Source organism: Homo sapiens, chromosome 3 (genome assembly GCF_000001405.40).
Source record: "Homo sapiens chromosome 3, GRCh38.p14 Primary Assembly".
Classification (NCBI taxonomy): Eukaryota; Metazoa; Chordata; class Mammalia; order Primates; family Hominidae; genus Homo; species Homo sapiens.
In genome coordinates, this window is record NC_000003.12 from 173,092,104 (window position 1) to 173,119,269 (window position 27,166).

A 27,166-nucleotide genomic window follows, 5' to 3' on the forward strand; every position below is an offset into this window, starting at 1 on the left:
TAAGCAGAATTGATGCAAATATGCTGATGCTCATACTGCTTGTGGTGCCATCAGCAATAATATTCTTTGTGACCCAGGAGTTTCTATCTCTTAAATACTGCCATCCATGAACTCTGGCAAGCTATTTTGTCAGCTTGCAAGTCAAGTAATATCTCATAGTCTTCACAGTTCTTGACAAGCCAGTAATTGAGAAGAAAGCAATTTAGCACAAAGTGTTCTGCATTAGCCAGAGGCTGTGGTAGGCAGAATAATGTCTCCTCAAAGATGTCTATATCCTACTCCCTGGAACCTGTGGCTACGTTATGCAACATGGCAAAGGAGAATGAAAGCTGCACATAGAATTAAGGTTGTTAATCAGATAAACAGATTATTTTAGATTATTGGAGTGGGCTCAATATAATCACAAAGTTTCTTTGAATGTGAAATAGAGATACAGAAGAGTCAGTGTCAAACTGGCTTTGAAGACGGAGGAAGGGTCCAACAGCCAAAGATTATAGATGGTCCCTAGAAGCTGGAAAAAGCCAAAACCCAGATTCTCCCCTAGAGTCTACCCAAGGAATTTAACCCTGCAAACACCTTGATTTTAGCCCAGTGAGACCCATTTTGGACTGTAAGATAATAAACTGTATTGTTTTAGCCACTAAATTTGTGGTAACTTGTTAGAAATTTCTAGTTAACCACAGAAAACAAATACAGAGGAGACAGTTAAACATTTCAGACAAAAAAGGTTTTGTTTCTTTTCTCATTGCCTATTTGGTTTATGCTTATCCTTTGGATTTCAGCTTAAATATTCTGCCTTTTCTGAGAGTTCCTGTCTTCTTTTTCTGAAGTAGTCCCCTCCTGTTATTCTCTATCATTGTACTGTATTTCCTTTTTGTAGCACTTTCCACAAATTGCAATTAAAATACAGTTTTATTGTAATTTTTATGCACCTAAAACACACACACACACACACACACACACACACACACACATATATATATATATGTTTCAAGTTATGATTGACAGTTATCTCTTTCTGTTTTGGGTGAAAGTCTATCCCCAATTCTAAGACTATGTTCTTCTTACATTTTTAATTTAAAATGTTCTTTAAATGAAATGGTGGTGTTAGAAGATAGTAGTTTCTATTTAAAAAATTGTCTTTCTTTGCTAACAAAATATGACAAGCTATGTTGACTCTTATTTTAAAAAATGGTACTGATTAATGAAATAAAAATTGTGGGAAGCACAGCTCTAGACTCTGTCAGATGCCATGTACTGTCACAGTACATTGTTCTTCCTTTACTGGAGCATGTTTACACATCTTATTTCCATTGCATTCTCATTTCTGAACTATAGTCTTCTGGAAAGGAGAGAACATGTCTGCTTTGGATTATATCCCCAGAGTTTAACCCAATGCCTGGCACAGAAGAGGCACACAATAAAAAAGTTTTGAATGACATTGAATGAAGAAATAAAAACTTCTAAAAGATTACTATGTATATGATGATACTATAAGGATTAAAATCATATTCATCATGCAAACACCCCAAGAACTTGTAAAATAAGCCTGCAGAAGTTATGTATTTGAGACAGAAATTGGGCCATCGCTATTGTATATAGCATGCTTCTAAAAGTATATTTATATGCCAAAATAGATAACCTCAAAAGGTATTGATACAGTCACTCCTTACACAATTCCCCTGTAACAAAATTCTTTTACAGCTCAGTAGTAATAAAAAGACTATTTCTTCTTATGGGTCAGTATTCCTGTAAATGAGTAAATGGGAGCTAGCTAAATAAATTCCATTTCTCTTTTTATCTTAGCTCCCAGTAAGCACAGAATACCACTTTGTGCTTATTTGGAGTGCTATGGAGCACAGAGCAGTCTTTCTGATTTACTTCATTTTCCTCTTTCCTGTGCTGCTCTCTCTGTTCCTTCTCTATTCAATTCCTTTTTCTTTTTTTTTTTTGCATCCCTTTAACTCTTATTTCAGTTATGTTTTCTTTGTATAGTAACACACCACAAGTACCTTCTGAAAAATAATTAAAAGTGCAATCTGGCTTAATCACTGATGAACCAAAGCACAAATATTTGTATTTTCATAATTGCTGGGCTTGTTCTGCATTCTTTTCTGTATATTTTGTCCAATTTTATCACCATAAGAACAACATCCAAGGGTCACCGTCCCACTATATAGTTTGCCTGGTAGCTATTTAAATAAATGAATTACAAATATTTAAAGCCAAATTCCCTGTTGGACATGATACTGTTTATGTAATGCTTTAAAGAGGAAAGTAATTTTGAGCCAAATGTGAATTTCAAGCATATAGTTGTGAAGATTCAGTAAATGACCATAAAGGATAGATATATATTTCCCAGCAGGTGTTTGCCAAAATGTACAAGGAGAGATTTCCCTAGGAAATAATACTAGAAAATTTAGAATCAGGGCAGGTCTAGTCAAAAGATATTTTAAAGGTTTTTGGATTAATCTGTATCTTTATCTTCAGGTATTCATGAAGAATACAAATGCAGAGCATGTAAGCTATTCTAATAGATCATGGATTGATGCAAATAAGGTGTTATGGGAGTTGTTTTTTTTTTTTTTTTTTGGCTTTTACTGTCAAATCCTGGTTTCCATGAAGTGAAGGTTGGGAGGGGTAATGGAGACGGAAGGACCTTCTTCTGAAAGATTGTGATGGGCAGGCCGTAGGGCTAAGCCCTGGCCATCTCCAGTCAGCCTCGGAGCAGCTCCGTTTTATCTTCCTAAATTTATTGAGCTTATATTCAGCACCTGGTTGTAAGCACATGTTCACGTTAATGTGTGTCCTTTTTTTGGCTACTCAGTGATTTGGCTATGTTGATTATAAAATATTTTGAATATCAGCCATGGTTCTATGTAAAATTTTATTTGTAAAGGGCTCTACTGCTAAATAGGCATTGTTATATAGTGGTCATAGTTACTACATATTTGGAAACAGATATGCTTGGTTCAAGCTCTAGCTTTGCTACTTACTAGTAGGGTGATCTTTATCAAGTTATCTGGCTTCTTAGAGCCTTAGTTTCCTCATTTGCAAAATGAGGCTAATGGTCGACCTACTTCTTTGGGTTATTGTAGGAATTGAAGGAGTATGGTAAATAAAGTGCTGGCATAAACTAAACACTTAATGAATGCTAACTTAAGTACACAAACAAAGAAGCACAAAACAAAAAAGCAAACCAGAGTTAAAACTATAACTCCAAACATTTGAATAAAAGGGACTTCCAGACAATAATAAAAAAACTATTAATTTTTTGTTGGCTATGAAAGTCAAGTTTCTTTTCTTCTTTACCTCTTAGAGGTGAAGAATAAATGAAAACAATGTAAATATCTACCTATGTATATGTCAGCTATCTATAAATTTCCATTTTTTTACAGTATTACCAGAGATATTCTGTACTCAAAGTTCAGCATAGGTTTTCTGATGTTGTGGAAGAAATATATCCCTTCTATCAATCATTGCCACCAGTCAGAGATAATTCCAAGTTGGGTATCATATTTGACTAAGCCATTATTGACAGTCTTTATATTTCTTGCTATAGAGTAAATACATAGTAGGAAGACTCAAATTATTTTCCTATTTGAAATCCATGGTTTATATCAGAGACAAATTAAAATGTAGCACTTTAAACAAAATTTAACAAGAAAACATTCACCCGGAATTAATAGAACTGTGCTACCACATGCTACTCATATAATGTATTATTGGAGAATATTTTAGGTGAAACCTACATTATCTAGCTATTAACTTCTATCATATTTACTTTTCCTCTAAGCATTTTTAAGAGAAATGACATTAGACTTGGTGCATTAGAAACTATATCAAAATCTAAAAGTTTATAAGCTCTAGTAATAAACAATTCCTAAATTGCCAAAGGAACCCTTATAGATTTTACAATCTCCCTATATAAAAGAAATAATGCTTTTATATAAGAACCTTACTACTAATAAAGAGCTTTCTGATTTTTATAGACTAAAAATATTTTTTAATAAATATTATTGCTAAACTACTATCCCATTTCTTGAAAATACGAACATGTGCTTTAGTTTAGAGACAGTTACCTTAAGAAATGGGCATTTGGGTCAGCGCTGGCACTATCATAGGATGGTAATCGGGTTCTAATGCAAGTTTGTAACTAAACAGAAATTAAAAGGGGAAGTCATTTTCTACTACTCTACAAAGAATTACCAGAATTACATAGGGGAAAACTTACTTGCCCAAAAGGGACTTTTTGAACTTGTTTTGAACTTAAAATCACTTAGAAACCCATTAGAAAACTGGGGTGAAATAATAGACATAGAAATGGAAATACCCAGAAAAGCAAGTGCAAATGACTCTGAAATGTAGAAAAAGCTGCTCAATTCATAATAAGAGAAATGCAGATTTGTCTTACACTCTGATTGTCTAAACCTATTATTTTGGGAGAGGATAAAAAATATTAGTAATACACTAACCAGTGTAGAATAAAGGAAAGAATAAAGTGGATAAGCTGGTGAGAATAAAGGAAAATAGACCTTCTAATACACAGCTGATAGGGGTGTAATTTAGCAATATTTATTGAATTTCAATATGCAACCTCTTTCATTTGAATTTAGGTAATGTATCCAGCAGATATATCTGTATTCATGCAAAATGACATGTGTACAAGGTGACTTATCACAACACTATTTCTAGGAGCAAAACACCAGAAACAACTCAAATGTTTATTAAAGGGAATATGTATCCTTAGCATGATGGAATATTATACAATCATAAAAAGGAAGAAATTTATTATATATTGATAAAGTATAACCACTAACACTTATTTTTAAGCAAAAAGAAATCAAGTTTTAGAAAGAATATCATATACAGTAGTCCCTTCTTACCCATGGTTTTGCAGTTTCAGTTACCCATGGTCAACTGCAGTCCAAAAATATTAAGTGGAAAATTCTAGAAATAAACATTTATAAATTTTAAATTGCACACTATTGTGTGTAATGAAATCTCATACCGTTTTGCCTTATCATTCCTGGGATGTGAATCATCCTTTTGTCTCACATATCCATGCTCTAGATGCCACCCACACATAGTCACTTAGTAGCCTTCTTGCTTATCAGATTGACTGTCCAGGCATACAGAGCTTCTGTTTAAGTAACCCTTATTTTACTTACTTAATGGCCTCAAAGTGCAAGAGTAGTGATGCTTGCAATTCAGGTATGCCAAAGAGAAGCCATAAAGTACTTTCTTTAAGTCAAAAGGTGAAAGTTCTCAACTTAAGAAAGAAAAAAGTCATATACTGAGGTTGCTGAGATCTATGGTAAGAACAAATCTATCCATAAAATTGTGAAGAAGGAAAAGGAAATTTGTATTCGTTTTGCTGTAGCACCTCAAACTGCAAAAGTTATGGCCATAGTTCATGATAAGTGCTTCATTAAAAGGAAAAAGGCATTACATTTGTGGGTGGAAGGCATGAACAGAAAATGTGTTCTGACTGATGGCAACATGTTGCGTCAGCAAGCATTGACAAAGACTTTAGCAAGGGATTTCCTGAAATGAATGACACCAAGCCATTTACTGCACGTAAGGGATGGCTACACAGATTCAGGAATATGTTTGAACTGAAAAATTATAAAGATTACTGGAGAGGCTACCTCTGCCAATGAAGAAGCTGTTGCTCTACTTCCAGCAGAGTTGAAAAAGTTTATTAAAGACAAAGGATACCATTCAACAAAGCCAGTCTTCAATTGTGTGAAACCTGGATCTTCTGGAAGAAAATATCCAGTAGAACTTGCATTTGTCAAAGTGCAAAGGAAGCACAAGGGCATAAAACATGGAAGGACAAATTAATTTTGGTACTATGTAGCAATGCTGCAGGGCATATTGTAAAGCCAGGCACAGTGAACAGAGAGAAGAAGCCACATACTATTAAAAAATGAAAACAAAAATTATCTGCCACTGTTCTGGCAACATAATCAGAAAGTGTGGGTGACAGCCATCTTGTTTATGGAATAATTCCACCAATCCTTCATCCCAGAAGTGAAAAAAAAAAAACTTGGAAAAAGAAGAGTTGGAGTTTAAAGCCCTATTAATAATAGACAATGTACCCAGCCATCCTGAATCTGTTTGCCACTAAAATGAAAATGTTGAGGCTGTATTTTTAACTCCATATACCACCTCATTCTTTCAGCCCCTTCACCAGGGCATCATCCAGTTCATCAAGGCCACGTGCACGCATTTGGTATTTTATCTCACTTAATCAGCAATTGATGTAGACCCTAATCTGGACAATGTCATGCTGTAAATCATTCACTATTACTGGTGCAATAACATTTACCAAAGCTACAATGGATAAGTTAAAACCAGAAATCATAAATGCCTTCTGGAAGAACTTACAGAGTAAAGCTGTGAATGATTTTAAAGGCCTCTTGGGGATAAATGGAAGTCAGGAAAATCATTTATGCAGCAAGACAAGGTGATAGGGAGAGATTTGCCAACATGCATGATGAAGAAGTGGAAGATCATATTGAAGGCCATTGATAAGTGTTAAAAAATGAAGAATTAGAAGAGCTTATTGAGTCACTTACAGACAGAAGACTGTGAAAAAGAAGAAACTGAAGTAGAATCAGCAATGTGCACTTACCAAAATATGCCATGGTGCTTCTAATGGCACAGATAGTAAAGGAAAAAATTATGGAATACTCTTTTCTGATAGAATGCAGCATTAAAGCCGCCCATATGATCACTAAAGGATTACAACCTCTGCAGCAACACTCTGATGAGTTAAAAAGAAAGAGATAATAATGTCAGATCACAATGTTCTTTCAAAAGGATTTGGCAAAAATCAACCAACCAACCAACCAACCAAACAAACAAAAAACCAAAAACCTTCAACTATCAAGGATCCCCAATCATCAACACTGTCTGCTTCTCATATCCAACCATTGACTTTGTCATGGCTTGATGACTCAGGATCACCTGAAGTAGATAATCCTCCTTCTGACATAACATCAGAAGGTCAATAGTAGCATAACGATACTTCACAATGCCTAGGTCATTCACCTCATCACACAAGCATTCTTACATCATCACAAGAAGGATGAGTACAGTACCATAGGATATTTTGAGAGAAAGAGACAGAAAGAGAGAGAGAGAGTGAGAGAGAGAGAGAGAAAGAGAGATGGAGAGGGAGAGACAGAGACAGACCATATTCACATAAGTTTTATTACAGCATATTGTTCTAATTGTTAGCTATTGTTGTTAATCTCTTGTGTCTAACTTATAAATTACAGTTTATCCTAGGTATGTATGTATAAGAAAAAACATAGTATATATAGAATTTGGTACTATCCACAGTTTCAGGAATCCCCTGGGGGTCTTGGTATGTATCTCCTGAGGATAAAGGTAGACTACCGTACTATTATATTGTTTATATTTATTAACTTAAAAGATGAACAACAGTTGCCCATTTGGAGGGAAATTTTGTGGTTGGAGAATAGGGATAGAAAGGAGCCATTACTCTATACAATTTTCTACCTCGAATTTTGAACTGTGTAAATATATTACCTATTCAAAAAATGAAAGAGTAATTTAAAATGGATAAAACAAAAGCAACAAGTGGCACAGCACATCTCCTTGTGATAGTCATGTTGTGTGGGGGTGAGCTGATGATTGACCCGAGAATCCCACTGTGCTTTTTCCTGTCGTCAGCATGCGCTTATGGAGAGGTCAAAATTCCATCACAGGCACCTACGCCCCTCTCTAGCTTCAGCTAAGCCTCTGGGATTCATTTTAATCTTTTCATATTTCTCCTTCACAGCCTAAATTAACTAGTGGCAGTGGGCAGCAACTGTGTGATTCCCTAAATGGAAGTCCCCACATAGAAGTTGGTGTTCTCTGAATGCTTCTTTGAAGAACTGTGCCTCAATTAATCAGCCCACAAACAGCAGTCTGGGACCTGTTTTAGAATGCACTCCCAGTGTTCATGCCACTAAAGCTGAGAGAAATATACAATAACTCAGTTTTAAAGTATCTGTGAGGATACCTCTCTATGGGAGCCAGAAATGCTGAGCAGGCCCCTTAGTGTCAGCAGTGGTCTCCTGTTGCCTCAAATATCACAGCACAATATTTCAATGACTTCTTTTGCTTAAGTGGATACTTGATTGCTGTTTTCATAACCCAAATAAGTAATAGGATATTCAGTTCATTTATAATTTGAGGCTAGTATTAGGGCTGAGCTACTTTAAACCAGCTTGGGTATATTTTTTTTGGTCCATTGCTGAATGAAATTTTAAAGTTATAAAATAATTGAAATAAAAACAAAAAAAACCAGCTGGTGTGAAGCTACCAGCTTTCAACACTGACACACTATAAAGGCATCAGAAAGTGTGAATATTGTTTCATTAGTTTTCACTTTTCATCGTTCTGCTTGGCATTTTAAAATATTTATTTGTGTGTTTAAAACTGAACATGCCAACAAATAATTATCATCCTTATCTCAAAGCCAGTTCTAGGAAACATCCAAAATAGAGTGTATTAAAAGCACAGATCACATAAACAGCACACACACACACACACACACACACACACACACACACACACACACACAGAGTAAATTCTTGTTTATCAATTTTTACAATTAATTTTAAAAACACAAGGTAAATAAGGGTAGCTACTCCATTAAAAAGATGTGCTTACCATTATATGTACTGGTATGTTTCCTCTGAAGTGGTCATAAACAATTACTTAGTAATGTTTCAAATATCAACAACAAGAGAAAAATTCAATAAATATAAATGAACATGTCAAAATATACAAACAACCTTGCTAACTTTAAAGGTGTATTACAAAAGCAATTTATCTTCATAGCAGTTTACATAATTCTAATAAACCTCACAGGTTTTCTATTAGTGCTGCATGTACATAGGAAAAATGATGCAGGAGAGGTGTGAGTAACTAAAGGAAGAAAATTACCCTTACACTTTACTGGGTATGAAAGACTCCTTTCTTTTTTTCCTTCAGGCTAGGGCTTGCTGAGCTTTGAAGAAGACTTCCAGTGCAAGTGGATTACATATTGACCTCACCTGGCCTAGATCATTGACCAATTGGAATGGTAGGGGGGATAATACTTGCTGCCCCAAGCATGTTTCACCCCCTCTTTGAATGAGACACTCCAAAAGCCTCATTCCAATTGTGCTGGAAATCTCTCCTCTCACTGCTGCTCACTGTCATGTACAGGGCAATGTAAACAAATTACTCCATACCCTAATCAAAGGTTTGAATATTCTCTCCACCGTTTTCAACTTAAGCTGGTTTCTCAAAGGAGCCCACATCCCCTACAGTCTCTGTCACATGGAGGTTTTTGTCTTTCCTGTCCCTCAGTACAATATTACAGAACACTATGTCATCTATATATTCTACTGTTGCTAACCCTGTCACCTACCAGACTTCCAATTATTTTCCCTCATTTACTAAGACTTGACACCTGGATTATCGTCATCTTTGCTCTTTGTCCTGACATCATCTGAGTGAGTTCAGATATCTGGCTGTGAATGAATCTTCTAACATCCTGGCCTTTCACATTTTTATCTCCTCAACTCCCCTCTAGCTTAGCAACCCAATCCCATGAAATTGCTTAACCTCTCAAAACCTATACTCTAGATCCAAGAGTATTACTCCTGGACCAAACCTCTATGCCTTTCATCTCTTTTACTCCCATATCCTCCAACATCTGTCCTTTCATCTTTAGTCCCTGAACCACTATGCATTCTCTTCACTGGACGCTTTCTTCTGTCCTCTCCTACCCAGCCCAGACCCACAATCCACCATTGTAACCACCCTGTCATCATTAATCACAATTAATGGTTCTCCCTTCTCATTCTTCTCATCAAAACCTCAAGTCTGAGTCAATAAAAACTTTTGGATTCTCAGAGAGACATTAGACAAAATCATATAACTGCAGTTTATTTTCATGTAGATTCATGATCCCTTTCCTTAGAGAGGTCCTGAACCCTTCCCCTTATTCCTACTCACCTCCTATATAATTTCTCTCTGTAGTCTGTCTAATCTTGGGTTTCAAGTCTCAAATTCCTCATTTGCTTTCAATTCAATTAAAATACATTTAAGCTAAGAATTTTCTCAACTTATTTTCTACCCAAAGAACTCTTCCTATCTCAATGGTACAGGTTCTTATATGTTCAAATATTATTGTGTTAGGTCATTCTTGCATTGTTATAAAGAAATACCCAAGGGTGGGTAATTTATAAAGAAAAGACATTTAATTGGCTTATGGTTCTACAGGCTTTACAGGGAGCATGATGCTGGTATCTGCTTCTGGTGAGGCCTCAGGGTGCTCTTACTTATGGTGGAAGGCTAAGCAGGAGCAAGTATGTCACATGGCAAGAGCCAGAGCAGTTGGTGGGGGAAACACGGGTAGGGGAAGGTGTCACAAACTTTTAAACAACGAGATCTCATGAGAACTCACTCACTATTGTGTGGACAGCACCAATCCTTGAGGGATCCACTTCCAGTACCCAAACACCTCCCCCCAGGCCCCACTTCCAACTTTAGGGATTACATCTCAACATGAGATTTGGAGGAGACAGCCAAATTGTGTCATTCCACCTCTGCCCCCACAAATCTCATGTCCTTATCACATTAAAGAAACATAATAATGTCTTCCCAATAATCCCTCAAAGTCTTAACTCATTTCAGAATTAAGTCAGAAGTCCCAAGTCCCAAGTCAAAAGTCAAAAATCTCATTTGGGAATGAGTTCCTTCCAATATGAGCCTGTAAAATATAAACAAGTTATTTACTCCCAAGATACAATGGAGGTACAGACACTGGGTAAGTATCTCAAATAAAAGGGAGAAATCAGCCAGAAGAAAAGGGCTATATGCCCCATGCATGTCTGAAACCCAGAAGGAAGTAACTAAATCTTAAAGCTCTAAAATAATCTCCGTTGCCTCCATGTCTCACAACCATGGCAATCCCAATATAAGGGGTGGGCTCCCAGGGCCTTAGGAAGCTCTATGCCTGGGGCTTTGCAGGGTTAGGCCCCTGTGGCTGCTCTCATGGATTACAGTTGAGTGCATGATGCTTTTCCATGTGTCAGGCACAAGCTGCTGGCGGTGCTATTGTTCTGGGGTCTAGAAGGTGGTGGCCCCCTTTCCATAGCTCCACTAGGCAGTGACCCAGTAGGAACTCTGTGTGGGGGGTCCAACCCCACATTTCCCCTCTGCACTGCCCTAGCAGAGCATCTCTGTGGGGGCTCTGTCCCTGCAGCAGACTTCTGCCTGGACACCCAGGCTTTTCCATACATCTTCTGAAATCTGGGCAGAGGCTGCCAAACTTTCTTCACTCTTGCACTCTGCACACCTACAGGCTTAACACCATGTCAAAACCACCAAGGCTTATGGCTCCAACCCTCTGAAGTGGCAGCCCAAGCTGTACCTGAGGGCTTTTGAGCCGCAGCTGGAGCTGGAATGGCCTGGATGCAGGGAAAAGTGTCCTGAGGCTGTGCAGGGCAGTGGGGCACTGGCTCTAGGACATGAAACCATTATTTCCTCCAGGGCCTCAAGGCCTGTGATAGGAGGGGCTGCTACAAAGATCTCTGATAAGTTTTTGAGGCCTTTCCCCCATTTTCTTGGCTATCAGCACCTAGCTACATTTTAGTCATGCAAATCTTTCTAACAAGTGGTTGCTCTGCAGCCTGCTTGAATTCCTTTCCTGACAATGCTTTTTCTTTCTCTGCCACATGGCCAAGCTGCAAATTTTTCACTTTTATACTCTGCTTCCCTTCTAAATATAGAGTGCAACTTTAAGTCATTTATCTGCTCCTGCATCTGACTACAGGCTGTTAGAAGCAGCCAGGCCTTATCTTGAATGCTTTGCTGCTTAGAAATTTCTTCTGCTAGATAGTCTAGGTCATCACTCTTAAGTTCAAACTTCCACAGATATGCAGCCAAATTCTTTGCTAAGGCATAACAAGGGTGACCTTTGCACCAATTCCCAAAAAGTTCCTCATTTCCATCTGAGACTTCATCAGGCTGGACTTCACTGTCCATATCACTATTAACATTTTGGTTACAATTATTTAACCAGTTTCTAAGAAGTTCCAAAGTTTCCCTCATCTTCCTTTCTTCTTCTGAGCCCTCCCAAACTCTTTAAACCTCTGCTCATTACCCGGTTCCAAAGTCGCTTCCACAATTTTAGTTATCTTTATAGCAGTGCCCGACTCCTCAGTACCAGTTTCTGTGTTAGGCCATTCTTGCATTGCCATAAAGAAATACATAAGTTTGGGTAATTTATAAAAGAAAAAAAGGTTTAGTTGGCTTACAGTTCTACAGGATTTACAGGAAATATGGTGCTGGAATCTACTTCTGGTGAGGTCTCAGGTTGCTTTTAATCATGATGGAAAGTGAAGCAGGAACAGACACATCACATGGTGAGTGCAGGAGCAAGTCAGGGGGAGGTGCTACAAATTTTTAAATAACCAGATCTCTTGAGAAATCACTCTCTTGAGGACAACACCAAGCCATGACCCAAACACCTCCCACCAGTTCCCAACTCTAGCACAGAGGATTACATCTCTGCATGAGATTTGGAGGGGACATCCAAGCTATATAATTTATCTTTCCATCTGTCTCCAGACCCCCATCCTTTTAAACATTCTTAGAGATTTCACCCTGTCAATCATATTTTTCTTGACTTATTCCCTCTCTCTATGGACTCTTTCAATATAATAATGGCCAGGGTTCATATTCTGAAAGAATTTGAAAATCAGCCCATCATTTTGCATTTCCCTTAGGCTACTGTTCCATTTCTATTTTCCTTTTAAAGGAATTCTATGAGTCATGCTGTCCACTTCTTTTTCCAAACTTAATTTTGCTTCTGGAAGTTGGCTTTGTTCAGAAAGGCTGTGCCCTGCAAGACCAGTTTTCCCTGGATTACAAACAATAAAGTCAGCTTTTAATTTCAGATGGTGGTCTATTCTTTTAACATGAGTCGTTGAAACTACATCATATGCTCTACTATATAATGAGTGCAAAGACTAATTGTGCCAATACATAAAATTTTGCAGTAAAAATTATGCTTGCTAAGTTTTAGTTGGCATCCTGAACACATAGTTAACATAGTCCAACTTTTCAGGTCAAAACTATTTCATCCCTGGGCTTGTTAAACTAGAGGGTGTTCAGACCCATTCTTGAGAAAGGAGGCTTCCTGGTTGGGTTGCAGTGATAACCATTAAAATTGTTCTCGCCAAAGACCCTTGACAGTCAAACAGGTTATTCTTTACTCTTACTGCTACTTCTAGAAACTCTGTAACTAGCAATTTCCTCAAAACCTCGAGTCCATGAGGAGTAACGTATTACAGTTTTCTCTCAATTAATTTCTTAGTCTCAGAGATAGTCCTTTCTGAATTATTCACACTTCTCCAAAATTCTTTCCTCATCCTTATTTTCCTTTTACAGTTCAGGTGGCTTCAGGTACTGATGACCCTTCAATGTCTGTCTTTGGTCATGAACTTTCCCCTGTGCTTCCGGCATGTTTCCAGCTAACAAATGTGCTGCTCCAACTGGGCTTGCCAGCAGCCTTCACATGCAATATATCCAAAGTTGCATTCACTAACTCTGCAAATTTTCCTTCCTCCCTCCCTCTTTTCCTCCCTCCCTCCCTGTCTTCATCCCTCCCTCTCTCCCTTCCTCCCTTCCTTCCTTCCTTCCTTCTTTCCTTTCTCTCTCTCTTTTCCTCTGTGTTTATATTTCTATTTATAGATAGATAGAGATATATCTGGATACGTAACAAAGTTTTTACAAAGTAAAACTTACCTTCCAATGTTCAATGAACTCTGATTTTTTATTGTATTGAATTTTTATTCTATTCCATTCCTTTCTATGATTTCAATTAAACATAATGCTGATTGCAATCCATTAAATTGATTTTACAACCCAGCAATAGGTAATAACACAGAGACTGAATACTATATTTTCTCTATATATACACTGGAGTGATAAAGCAAAATTAAAAATTAGACTTCATCATTCCCCATGTTGATCCTTTCTGAAGGCGTTTTGTTGCCTGCTGCATAAAATCTCAGAAGGCATGCATGGCCCCTGACAACCTGCCAGCTTCTTCAGCTTTATTTCTCCCTATTTGTTCTTCCCTGCATTTACTACCCTAGGAACACCCAATTCCTTCCTATTTTACCTTGGTGTTTTCTCTTTATATTCTCTCATACCTTTACCCCTCTAGCTGTTTTCCCCTAAAATCAACACGTGGATTATGGCAAATAAAATGTCTACTATATTTTAGCTGTAACTAAAGAATAAATAAGGAGCTATGATTGTGGGGTTGAAATCCAATGCTTCCCTGTAGCTCCTGTAGTAACCAGCACAATGTTGCTAATGTAGTAACTACTCAATAAATATTTTTTATGTCCTTTGCTGATTCCCAGTGGATCCATTTGTCATAACTTTCCTGCCCAAGAACTCACCTATTGCCTTCAACACCAATTCCAATGTCCTCTTCCTGGTTTAGATCCTCCAGAATCTCACTCTATCTATCCACCCTTATTTTATGATAATGTCTTTCTCTGGCTTGCTCATCACTTTGCTGCCCTTCTGTTTTATCCTTCTTTCACCAAGTTCACCATCCTTCTAGTAATGTTTCACACATCATACTCATCTTCCTTCCCCTCTCCCTCCCTACTTTTCCATTTAGCTATTTATGTTTCGAGGTTCATTCCAAAATCCTATCTTTTCCATTGGTACTTCATATATTTTAATCTATGTATCTTTAATAAGGATAATAAGAGTTTCCAACCCACTGGTTGGTTGTGAGAATTAGATAGGTTAATATAGATAAAGTGCCTGCCACACAGTTTGTGTTCATATTGTGTATATCATAGACTCCATTGAACTTTCTCATGCTAAGCCTTTGTTCTGTACAGCCATTGCCCATCACTGAACACTTAATAGATTTCTAATTGTCTTACCATTATAAGACTTCTTTCTAAAACCTGACTCAAATTCCTTGAAAACCAAAGCCCTGTCATATCACATCCTCTTACCCCAATGTCACTCTTACAGTGACATTGTAGTGACTTAATAAACTGTGGTTGATTTCTTGGTGTAATTTGCTCTGTAAAATCAATGATCAATATTCATAGGTGAATATCATCACTATCATCATCATCCACCCAAACAACACTCTAGAAGATATTTATTTATAGATATGTAATATATTTTAGTAGTGGCATTCAAGTATATATGAATCCAGTGTTCTAGGTATTCATAACAATTCCTACAAAACAAGGGAACCACACTGAGTGTGATGAAAATCTCTCTCTCTCTATTTTTTTTTTTTTTTACTCCCTAAGTAGCTACATCCTATTCTCTGATAGAAACAGAATCATCTCTTAGGCGGAAACAAAGTCTTCTCTATTTTAGTGAATGTCAAATGAGGCAAAAGAAGAGTTACATAATTTAGTAGAAGTTGAAACTAAATTTTCCTTTAATATTTTTCTAGATAACCTGAATTGAAAAAGCAATTGCAACTTCACTCTGCATTACATTTTTGTGAACACATTAAAGTGGATCTCATCTACTCACTATTTCAGAGTCTGTTTAACTATGAAGTTGTATGTGTAGGAAGGCTGGAATGGGGTCCGTAACAGAGGAAAGAGACGGAATTGCTGTTTTTAAGTCTATTTGGTTTCAGTAGACTTACACACATTTGGAAAGTTGGATAGTGGAAGAAATGTTTTGCAACATGATCCGATACTTAAGTCAGAATCATCTGACTTAAATTTTTCTGGGTGTCATCCCTAAACAGTCTTCAAACTGATTACAATTTAGGGTTGTGTAAGACTTCATGACAATTGGTTAGGTATTGATTCAGAAGAATGACAGAATTAACTATATTTAAAAATTTCATTAACATTTACTGTCATTTGAATCAAACACATAATGACCACCTGTAAACTATGGAAATAATCCCACTGATGAAAAAGATCTTCCTCAGCTTCCTATGGATTAATTGTTCATTTTTTTCGGTGAAGTTTTCACTTGTGGGATGAATTTAAAGTTTCAGAGACACACACTATCTAACCACTGGCCCAAGTTCAGTATCAATCTATTTTTTAGTATTAATAGAAAAGTAGTCATTAAGTAAGTTAATTTGTTTTTTAAATGAATATGAGATTATGTTCAGTATAAATTTTCAGAGTAAATTTTCATGACAATTTACATTTTTATATAATATTTTTAAATAGCTTTGTATATTTATTAATTCTCTTTTAAAAGTCACATATGGGTTAAAACCTATTGTGATTTTAAAAGAGAAGGAAGTGATGAGTATTTTCAATGCTAGTCGTTCTCAATGTTAAGCTGCTCCATAGTCAACCTGGGATTGTAAAAATACCAATGTTCCAGGAATGATCATTGCCTGGACCCCAGATAATTGTACTGGACTCTCTGAGAGTGGGTTTGGGCATCTGTGTATATCTAATAGCTCCCCAGGTGATTGTAATTATAAAGTCATATGCTGCATAACGATGTTTTGGTCAATGACAGACTGTATATATGACAGTAGTCCCATCAGATTATAATGGAGCAGCCCTATACAGGTGTACCATTTTTTATTTTTCATACCTTATTTTCACTATATCTTTTCTATGATTAGATACACAAATACTATTGTGTTACAATTGCCTACAGCACTCAGTACAATAACATGCTTCATAGCCTAGAAGCAGTAGGCTCTACCGTATAGCCTAGGTGTGTAGTTGACTATGCCATCTACGCTAGTGTAAGTGCAGTCTATTGTGTTTGCACAATGACAAAATTGCCTAATGACACATTTCTCAGAATGTATCTCTATTGTTAGCTACGCATGACTGTATTAAGAACCTACGATGTTCATAATCTTTTTTTATGGAATGTGATTCTCTTTTCATTTGTAAAGTGATACAAATTATAGTGTAGGCTTATTTATTGAAAATTCTCCTACTAAACCCCTCTTCCATACTCTACTACCATCTAAGTAATGGGAAAACTCTGTTCTCCCCGAGATGGTCAATGCCTACCTCCCGACCCTCATTTGGCCCCCTCTTCCACCCTTCCTGTCCTTTTGATTCTCTCCAAATCCCTCTTCACAACTTCTCCCATGTTATGGGGGCTGCATACAAATAGGAACTGTGGCTCTTCCCCTGCTGTGTCAATGGCTGCTTTTGTGTGGGAAAGGGAGGGGGACTTAGCATGAGTCAGATGAGTCAGACGGTGGGTGTGCAGCACAGCCACGACCATGTGGATAAAAAGCCTCAATAGTAAGGAAGAGTGGCCCATCAAAATGAGTAATTGCCTCAGATATATCTCCTATTTCTCATCCCTTTTTAATAATACTAAGCCTGAAAAATATTTTGTTCCTTTAATCAATAATCAACTCTCATCTATGTATCTTAAATCTTCTAATTTGTTTTTTATTCCATCGGGGTTGGGATGATAACCATTGAAGGTAAATAAATTACACTAAAATATGTTGGATATCTTTCTAAACGTCAACTTAAAGATCACATTTCAGAAAAAAATCTTTTAAAATATAAACAATAACACACTAAACAAAAAATAAAAATACATTACCCTAAAATGTAAATGAAGTCTTGGAATTCAGGCAAGCAAGACCCAATTCCTTGTCTCTACACTTTGGATCCTTGAGGGCAGAAACTGTATTTTATTTATATTTGTATTTCCAGCATCTAGCATTATGCCAGGTTAAAATAGCTGGTAAATGCTAGTGGTATTAACACACTTTTTTCTTATAATGGCAAATTTTAATTTTCTAGAGATTTGTATTATTTAATCAGTGTTTAATTATTATAAAGTATAATTAAACACACTGATTATAAAAATGTATGTAATAATACTTTTATCTTATTTTTTGGGGTTAAAAGGGAAATTCATTTCGTATTTTCCTGTATGTTTGCTAGCATTTTCCAAATTTTTTAAAATCATTAAATACTTATTAGTTATGGTGTCCCTGTATGGAACAACGACAACAACAATCAAGTTAAAATCTGAAATGTCTAATCTTGAACATGAAGAGTTCACAGTCAGTTTATACTTGACAACTAAGAAACAATGGGCTATCTCTAGAATAACAATTTGTGCATTTAAGTGAAGGCTTATATTTGTGCGAGAGGCAGTTAGTAGTTCAAAATAGTGTTTGGTTTAGATCACTGCTTCTCAAGGGAAGATAAAGTAGAACACGATGCATTACTTTGTCCCTTGCTTTGGTTAAATTTTAAATATAATTAAAAGAAGACTAGAAATTGTTAATGTTAATCAAAGAGTTTGGGCTATGGATGTTAAACAATGTTGGTAAACACATAGTTGGGCAAAATCCTTTGGAATGTTAAGCTTTAAATTAAACACATACCATACAGGGAAGTGAGGTACTTGAGAAGTACAGTGACAACTTGTACATGAATTTAGATTTCATTATGTTTTTCAATAAACAATTCTTGATGTTCTATGTGAAAGCACCTTATTATCTATCATTTCTACTTAATGGCATTCTAAGCGGCTAAGAAAGTTGCTCAAACTCACATAGCATCAGCGCAGCATCAAACACAGATAATCTGACTCCAAATTCAGTGCCCTGTCCATCACAGCTCTGGAGCCCTGCGGCCACTTACGACTACGTGAGCTACTGCTTACTGCTAATTTACTAGAGGGGCAATGGCAGTCACTTGAGAACCTACTAGTGGTTTGGTATAAATCCTTCTCAGAGTTGTCCCTGGACCAGCATTATGAACATCATTTGGGAACTTATTTGAAATGAGGCATCTGGTGTCCCGCTTCAAACATAATGCATCTGAATCTGCATTTTTAACAAGATTACTATAGAATTTTTATGCACATTACAGTATGAAAAGCAGGAGTGTAAAGAAGTCCAGATGTGAAATCAGGGGACCTGAATTCCATCTCAGCCCTGCCACAGACTAGCCATGACACTTTAAGTAAGTTATTTAATTTTTTTAGAGCATCAGTTTTTCTGCAAAATGGGGTGATAATATCCATCTTAGAGAGGGTTATTGCAATGATTGTATGAGTAAAAGTGCCTAGAACGTGAAACCCTGTCTCTACTAAAAATACAAAAATTAGCCAGGCGTGGTGGCATGCGCCTGTAATCCCAGCTACTCAGGAGGCTGAGGCAGGAGAATCACTTGAACCCAGGAGGCAGAGCTTACAGTGAGCCGAGATCGTACCACTGCACTCCAGCCTGGGTGACAGAGCCAGACTCCATCTCAAATCAAAAAACAACAACAATAACAAAATGCCTGGAACCCAGCAGTAGTTTAAGAAATGCATACTGGATTCATATGCAAATCCACAGATTGCAATGAGACAGCTCAGGCACTCAGAGAATTTGGTGAACCCCCAAATTTCTGATTATGTGGCACCAAAGAAATACCTGTGCTAGAATTTATTTAAATTAAGCTTTCTGAGATATCCACATTTTTGTGCTCTAGAGAGTTGCTACAGAGTTATTCTCAGCAGAGCAATTATAGGTGAGGCTGCCCTATAATGAGATATCTTTTCTACTTCATTAAATAAACCCCCTTGAATGGGCTCCAAAATGGACCTGTCTTATACCAAATTCCATTATCTTGGAAGTAATCTCATAAGAAGGTCCTGGTGTGGGTTCAATCATGTTGGATACCTAACATTTACCATAAAGAATGTGTTCTAGAAGAGTGATTCCCAAAAGCTGGTTCTCAGACCAATGTTTTACCGATCCAAGGGAAAATAAAAAATAAAGACAACATAGCTTTTCATAAAATTGAAATATAACTGTTTTTAAAATATCCTTCATTTTGAGAGTATGACCTCTCTGTTTCTTTTTATCTTTCCTTCTAACTTTTATGGGTAAAACTGCTCCATATTTTATGATTCAATGGTGGTAATAGATGGTAATTTTTGTAATGTTCTTGTACAATACAAATGCAATGCCAACCCACTCTCCCCCTACACACACTTAAAACATTTTTTTATGGATCCTTGAAATGCAAAAATTCTGAACTATTGTTATAGAAACACCTGCTTAAGAAGAAATTCTTTCCTATAAAATCAATGTTGGACATACAACATTTTAAATTATAAAATGTAGGGGCCAAACTTCAAAGTGTTAATTGGAGGGCAAAATCACAGAGCGTAGTGCTCCTCAAACTGCAATGTGCACAAGGACCATCTGGAATTTGTTAAAATGCAGGTTCTGATTCTGCAGGTCTGGCAAGATCTAGAATTTTGTATTTCCAACCAACTCACACTTAGAGTAGCAGAGGCACACTGGTGAGCCCTGAAACCAGATAAGCGGATCCCGACTCCACCACCTCTAGCTTTTGACCCTTGAGCAAGTTACTTAACCTGTCCACCCTTGGTTTTCTCATTAGTAACACAATAATAATAACAGTATTATCTCATTGGCTTGTTGTGAGAATGAAATGGAATAATGAATGTAAATAATCCCAGAATGTAAAATATAGTAGCTGGCACATACAAAGAGCTCCATAAATGTGAGTTATTACTTTAACTTCACACACCAGCGACTGGAGCGCCAAGATATTAAAAAAAGATTAGCACCTCAAGGGGCTGCTGCATGATGAAATCAGAGGAATTGAAAGTTCTGGTTGGTAATGGATGGGTCTTGTTCTGTCTTCTTTGATGGGTTTAATGGGATTGTTTGAAGCTGTGAATCTTAAAGGATACATATAGATTTGTTCTAATTCAGAAGGTGGAAGCCTCTTAATTATTAGGATCCTATGATTAAGATTGAAATGGTGGTGTTGTTTAAGTTGCATGCTATGAAGTTAGAAAAACCTTTGATAATTTCTTTGAGTGTTGTTCCAATAAGTGACAAAAAATATGATTACTGCATCTTCTGTCCTTTATGTATTCCTAATTTATTAATCTTTTCCTACTTTTTGTTGACAGCCAAGCAATTTATTACATAGTAGTATGTATTGCCTAATATGCAAATACAACTATATGAGGCAGTCATATTTTTTTAAATAGAATCCCTACTGTTTTTGTAGTGGGGAAATTGGTATAGCTGTCTTTAAAAAATTGCAGGGAATAGTATCTAGGCATGACAATATAAAATAATATGAATTTGTGTTTTTATCTTCAGCTTACACCTTTTGCCCTTATTGGTTTAGCTTCTGGTGTGAATACAAACATAAGAGCATACGATGACTGTTTTTAACGAAACTTGAGAAAGATTGATGAGGTGGTCATAGAGCTAAGGACCAATTTTACCCACATAACTGGTTCACCTTTATACAGTAAAAAGAAAGCATGCAAAAATAAGTTATTTCATTAAGCATGTTTACATAAATGCCTGCTATGTTACAAAATCCTAAAAGACTAAAGTTGACAGGTTTTTGGAAGTTAAACTGTTGTCTTCTGAATCATTGCATATCATTTGACCTTAATGATTATAAAATGTTATCATAAATTTACCTATCTAGTGACTATGTTATGAAAATAAAAGGAGTTAGTACTTTGTCAAGAACACAAAGGAAACTAACACATAAACAAAACATTCCTAATGGGTTTATTAGATGCATTGGAAATTGTTATGTCACTTAATAAATATTTAAATGCCTCCAGGGCCTTTGCTCCGTTCTTACTTTTCTGTTTCTTTTTTGTGGTCTCACCTTTAACCACAACCAGTCCTCTACACACTCTTACAGCTGACTTTGTACCACATATTTGGCAACCATTCTGAATGCCTCTGCTGGGCGCAGTGGCTCATGCCTGTAATCCCAGCACTTTGGGAGGCCGAGGTGGGTGGATCACCTGATGTCAGGAGTTCAAGACCAGCCTGGTCAATACGGTGAAACCCTGTCTCTACTAAAAATACAAAACTTAGCCAGGCGTGGTGGCAGGTGCCTGTAATCCCAGCTGCTTGGGAGGCTGAGGCAGGAGAATCACTTGAACCTGGGAGGCGGAGGTTGCAGTGAGCTGAGATTGCACCACTGCACTCCAGCCTGGGCAACAGAGCAAGACTCCATCTCAAAAAAAAAAAAAAAAAAAAAGAGTCTCATAACACTTCCCTCATAGCAAGCCTTCTATGGGAGAGATGCTACTTATCCTTCAATACCTATTTTCTCCTTCTTTCTCAGTAACAGAACTTCAGAATGTTAGAGCCATCTGGAATAAAGACCGTATTTCTCAGCCTCCCTTGCAGGTATGTGTGGCCACATGATTAAATTTTGGTTAATGGGAAAAAAATGAAAATGGTGTGCTCGTGGAGACACTGTGTGCCTCTCTTTTTCCTTTTTCTCATTTTTGGCTGGATAGAATGTGTATCTGATGACACCAGCAGGAATGGTTATTTTGGATCATGAAGTCAAGGCCACTTCTTAGGAAAGGAGATATAACCTGGCACCCTGACCATCATACCATATCAGCCCTTGACTACCAACATTTATGTATGAGAGAAATAAACTTCTACCTTCCTTCAGACACTTATTTTGCAGCCAAACCTAACCCTAATGTATCCACACTCAAATACTTGCAGCATCTATCAAGTGTGATCATTATCATTGTGCCTTGGCTTCTGCCGTCCATCCTATCTTATTCAAAGCCATGTTAGGACTTAAGGAAAAGGGAGAGATGCTTTAAATGATATGTGAGAGCACTCAGTATTAATAAAGTTAAATTTAGAAGTTAAATTCGGGAAAAGAAAAGAAAGGCTGAAAAGGCTACAAATCTTTTCTATTCCCAGTAGCTTTGTTTTTTTGAGATATTCTAGCTAAGATTTCAAAGTTAACTCCCTAGATAATTAGACAAAAGCTAGGCCAGATGTCTAAGCTAAGTTTTGGTTTCAAAATAATTATTTTTGTTAATTATCAGTAATTAGTGTCAGCATCCAAAACTTTCCTTAGAACCCTGGGAGAGAGAAGGAGAACAGGAGAGAGAAAAAAAAGAGGTAGCGGGGAAGGAGAGAGAGAGAAACACAAGCATTATGCAGTACAATTATATTTTAGGTTTAACAAAACCTGATTCAAATTTTATAATTTTGAACACAGGGTTTTATGGAAAACTGGGTATTTTGTTTCATTTAATGCAGATGTCTTTTGCTTTTACTTAAACTTAATTTGAAGCTTTTACAGTAGCTAAGAAAAGATGCCTTTCTTTTTTCTTGCCAAAATGATTATTTTTCTTTATCTATAAAATTATACCTTTAACCCTCCCTGCACCAGGAAAATAAATTTCAGCTGAAGATGGCCCTGGCAGAATGGCCTGGTATTCTTTGTAGAGTCTTTCATTAGCATTCTTTTCCTAGACGAAGGCTGCAGAGCTTTAGCTCAAAAGACTGTTCAAAAGAACAGAGGGTTCTTTTGGGGGTTTGTGGATAATATGGATTTTTCCAGCACTTATTAGATAGCTTAGAAGTTTACGTAGTACATCACACTTCCCTTATTTGTGTAGATGACCCTTTATGAGAACAGGAATATTTATAGATGCATCTATTTGTGTGCTACCTAATTACTTCATATCTACTCAGGTCTGTTTTTGTACGTAGCACCTTTTAAAATATTTAGGGACACCATTGTCTGGTATCATCTATTAATAATTCATTATAACTGTAGTCATTTTAACCTGCAAGTAACAATGAAAATAATACTTTACTCTTTACATTGCACCACTTTCACGACAACATCTCACATTTGACTCCTGCTCACTCTCATCACCCATGCTCAATTACTCTTGTGGGCATTTTTTTTTTCTTTTTTTTTTTTGACACAGAGTCTTACTCTGTTGCCCAGCCTGGAATGCAGTGGTGTAATTATAGCACACTGCACTCTCGACCTCTTGGGCTCAAGAGATCCTTTCACCTCAGCCTCCTGTTGTAGCTAGTAGTATAGATGTGTGCCACTATGCCTAGCTAATTTTTACATTTTGTAGAGATAGGGTCTCACTATGTTACCCAGACTGGTCCAGAATTTCTGGCCTCAAGTGATCCTTTCACCTTGGCTTCCCAAAGTGCTGGGACTACAGGTGTGAGTCACCATGCCAGGACTTTATGGCATCTTTATTTAAATGTTTACTGGTTTGTCTTCCTCACCAGGTGGTTAGAGGGAAGGAACCATGTCTTCATTCATTTCTTTTTAAATAGCTCCAGTGCCCAGCAGGCATATATAGTATGCATTGAAATGTTTTTTGTAAGATAGTTTTGTAAAATAAAATACGAAATATGCACTCATCAACAAAGCAAGGCCAATGGTGCATACAGTTTGGTCCTTCTATAGGTACAGTATGTCATGAGCTAGTATAATTTTCCTACTACCTATTTTGTGTTTTAGTAGTGATTCTGAAGTTTATTTTAGTCCATGGCTATTTTTTATGCCAAGGTATTCACAAACTTACCTGTTTACAGATAGGAAGATAATTATTCATAAAGATCACTAGAATGGGGAGAAAAATAAAGTTTGATGGTAAAGTAAAATGGTGTTATTTTGTTTGTAATAAGTATCACGTATAAATTATGAGCACATGCTAAAAAGTAAAGATGGTTATGTTTAATCATGAGGATACTACATATCAAAAGTGGACAATTCATATACTCATTAACTGCCTATTTCTAGAGAATCTATATTCTACCCACCACCATTGTACTAAAACTTTACGGCTTTTATAGGTGGGCAGCTAAGTGATGAAAGCAACTGCATTTTAAAAATATATCACCATTCACTTCAGGGTTTGTAAAAAGCATGAGGTATGCCTTTGGGGTTATTTCTATATATCAAGTGCACACAGGCATATTAATTTGCAGGCATAGCTTATTTATTTGCTTTATGTAAACTGGGAACTGCAAAATCCTAATATCATTACATATCCTCACCTCATGATCACTGCTTATTACAGTATGGCCAGAACCCCTCAATGTAATTGCAACTTTCCATTTCATAGTTTCCTGTCACCAATCTATATTTTCTTTAATCCCATACCTCAAGTGCTGTTCTGAACTGTCCTGCTGCCAAGGCGTATTTCTTTTGTCTATAGCAAGAGCTGGCATCCTTTAAGGCTACCTGAAGCCATTTGTCAATCTGAGGCAGAAAGCTGAAATTATGTACACTCAAAGGGTCTACTATTTCAGCAGCTTGGCATGTTGGCTGACTCCCAGTAGACATGAAGGACTCTACAAACTCATAGCGAACACCCATTTCATCAATGTAGACCAACTTCATTTCCACATCCATTATGTTCTTTAAGGGGATGTGAGGCAGAGGCATGGTGATTAACTGATTGTCAAGTTCTGTTATCTTTGCCTGTTTCTTTCTAGTTGGCTTTTCTTCACCTTCTGCCTTCCGTTTAAAGGCTGCTTTCTCTAAATCATTGCTTTGTTTTTCTTTGATGCCCTTTGTCATTTTTGTTCTTTCAAGTGTGATTTCTACCTGTTTACCTCCACAGTTTTTCTTAATCTCTTGTGACATTTCCAGGATGTTAGGTGGGTGCGCTAAGGTGGACATTTTCTTGCTTGTGTTTATCTTTGGAACAAGCTGATCATGATAGATCCTATTCACTGCATTCTCCAAACTCCTACTGCTTCCTGCATCCATCGATCCTGCCCAAAACTCCTGCAGGGGGGAGAAAAAGGAAAGTAATTAAGGCAATATTTTGAATTCCAGTGGTTTAGACTATAGTCAAATTCATTTTAAACACTATTTCATTCATTATTAGTATTTGTTGCCTTGTAAGTAAAACTGTATTTACATAATCTACTGACTATTTTAATAGAGGAGTGTATGTGTCAGTCTCAAAACTCACCAAGATAAGAATTTGTTGTAAACACATCTAGACATTGTCTTAAAAAATGATCCTCTGTGGCTGAACAACATCGAATGAATACTTTAATGGGGTATCCAAACTCATTGAATAGGAAAATTTTATACATAGCCACTGAGACAAGAAAAGCCAAAGTAAATCTATCTCAATATTAATTTCCTCAGAAAGGCAGGTGGTCTAGAACTCATTACAAAATACACTACTCACCTGAATAATAGACTTGGGAGTCTAAAGAAACCCCAGCTGCTTCCTCTGAAAAGCTTCCAAAAATGTGAGCACAATCTTTCCTAAATTTGTTTCTTTTATTACTAATGAAAATCTCAAGTTTAAAAAGCTCATAGACAACTATTGTTCACAACAGGCTCTAAAGAAGAAGAACATGACCTTCAATCTTACAGAAATGTGAGCCATAGACTTATCTTTAGTCTACTGTATTAGTCTATTTGTAGTAATGGTATCAACAATGTACACTGTATAAAGATGAGGTATTTTTCTAAACATTAATGCTCAAAATATGTAACAGTCTTTTGATTCCAAGATTCTGCATGCTATGTGCTTCTAGATTTGTTTCAAAATATCAAGTGTTCTAAGATATAATAATTATTTAGTATGGTTGATTCCTATCTTTTAGGACTCTTTCTTTTCACCTATCACATTCTATTCTGGAAACAACTTTGTGGAGTAAATAGGAACAGGGACCACATTTTGCAAAGAAACTAAGGGATAGAGGGATTAAGTTGCTTCTCCAAGGTCACATTGGTTGGTCATTAGCAAAACCTACCCATTCAGATTGCTATTACCTTCCTAGGACTGCCACTTGCCAACTCCTAGCCTGAGATACTTCCTCTATAACATGAGGTTCTTTAGTATAGCTAATAGACATAGATTAGACCACAAAGATAGGAGAAAATAACAAGAAAGAAGGGCTGCATATAATAAGATAACAATGAGATAAAAGCTAACACTTGTGCTTCCTTTTATCTTCAAGGTCAGTGTCCGACTCAAGATAAAAATCGTGAGTCACTTCTCAAAACTTATTAATGTTGTTGATTGTCTTCATTTGTTTGTTTGGAAGACAGTAGTTTGCCGAAGAAGACCCTTAAAACCAAACACTGCATATTCTCACTCATAAGTGGGAATTGAACAATGAGAACACATGAACATAGGGAGGGGAACATCACCTACTGGGGCCTGTCGAGGGGGTGTGGGGAAAGGGGAGGGAGAGCATTAGGACAAATACCTAATGCATGCAGGGCTTAAAACCTAGATGACGGGTTGATAGCTGCAGGAAACCACCATGGCACATGTATAC

At 36.8% G+C, this 27,166-nt stretch overlaps 1 protein-coding gene and 1 long non-coding RNA gene across 4 annotated transcripts in view; one reads left to right on the top strand and one right to left on the bottom strand.

Moving 5' to 3' along the window:
* Positions 1 to 27,166, bottom strand: part of SPATA16 (spermatogenesis associated 16) — a 251,879-nt gene that overhangs the window by 202,747 nt on the left and 21,966 nt on the right. For all 3 annotated transcript variants that reach the window (NM_031955.6, XM_006713778.4, XM_017007308.3), the window contains exon 2: positions 25,017 to 25,646. In NM_031955.6, coding sequence (NP_114161.3) covers positions 25,017 to 25,628 — 612 coding nt within the window. In that variant the 5' untranslated portion in view covers positions 25,629 to 25,646. The remainder of the gene's footprint in view (positions 1 to 25,016; positions 25,647 to 27,166) is intronic.
* LOC105374220 (uncharacterized) overlaps positions 22,185 to 27,166 on the top strand; it is a 48,606-nt gene continuing 43,624 nt past the window's right edge. Inside the window, exon 1 of the long non-coding RNA XR_001741021.1 lies at positions 22,185 to 22,249. This is a non-coding gene — a long non-coding RNA (uncharacterized LOC105374220). The remainder of the gene's footprint in view (positions 22,250 to 27,166) is intronic.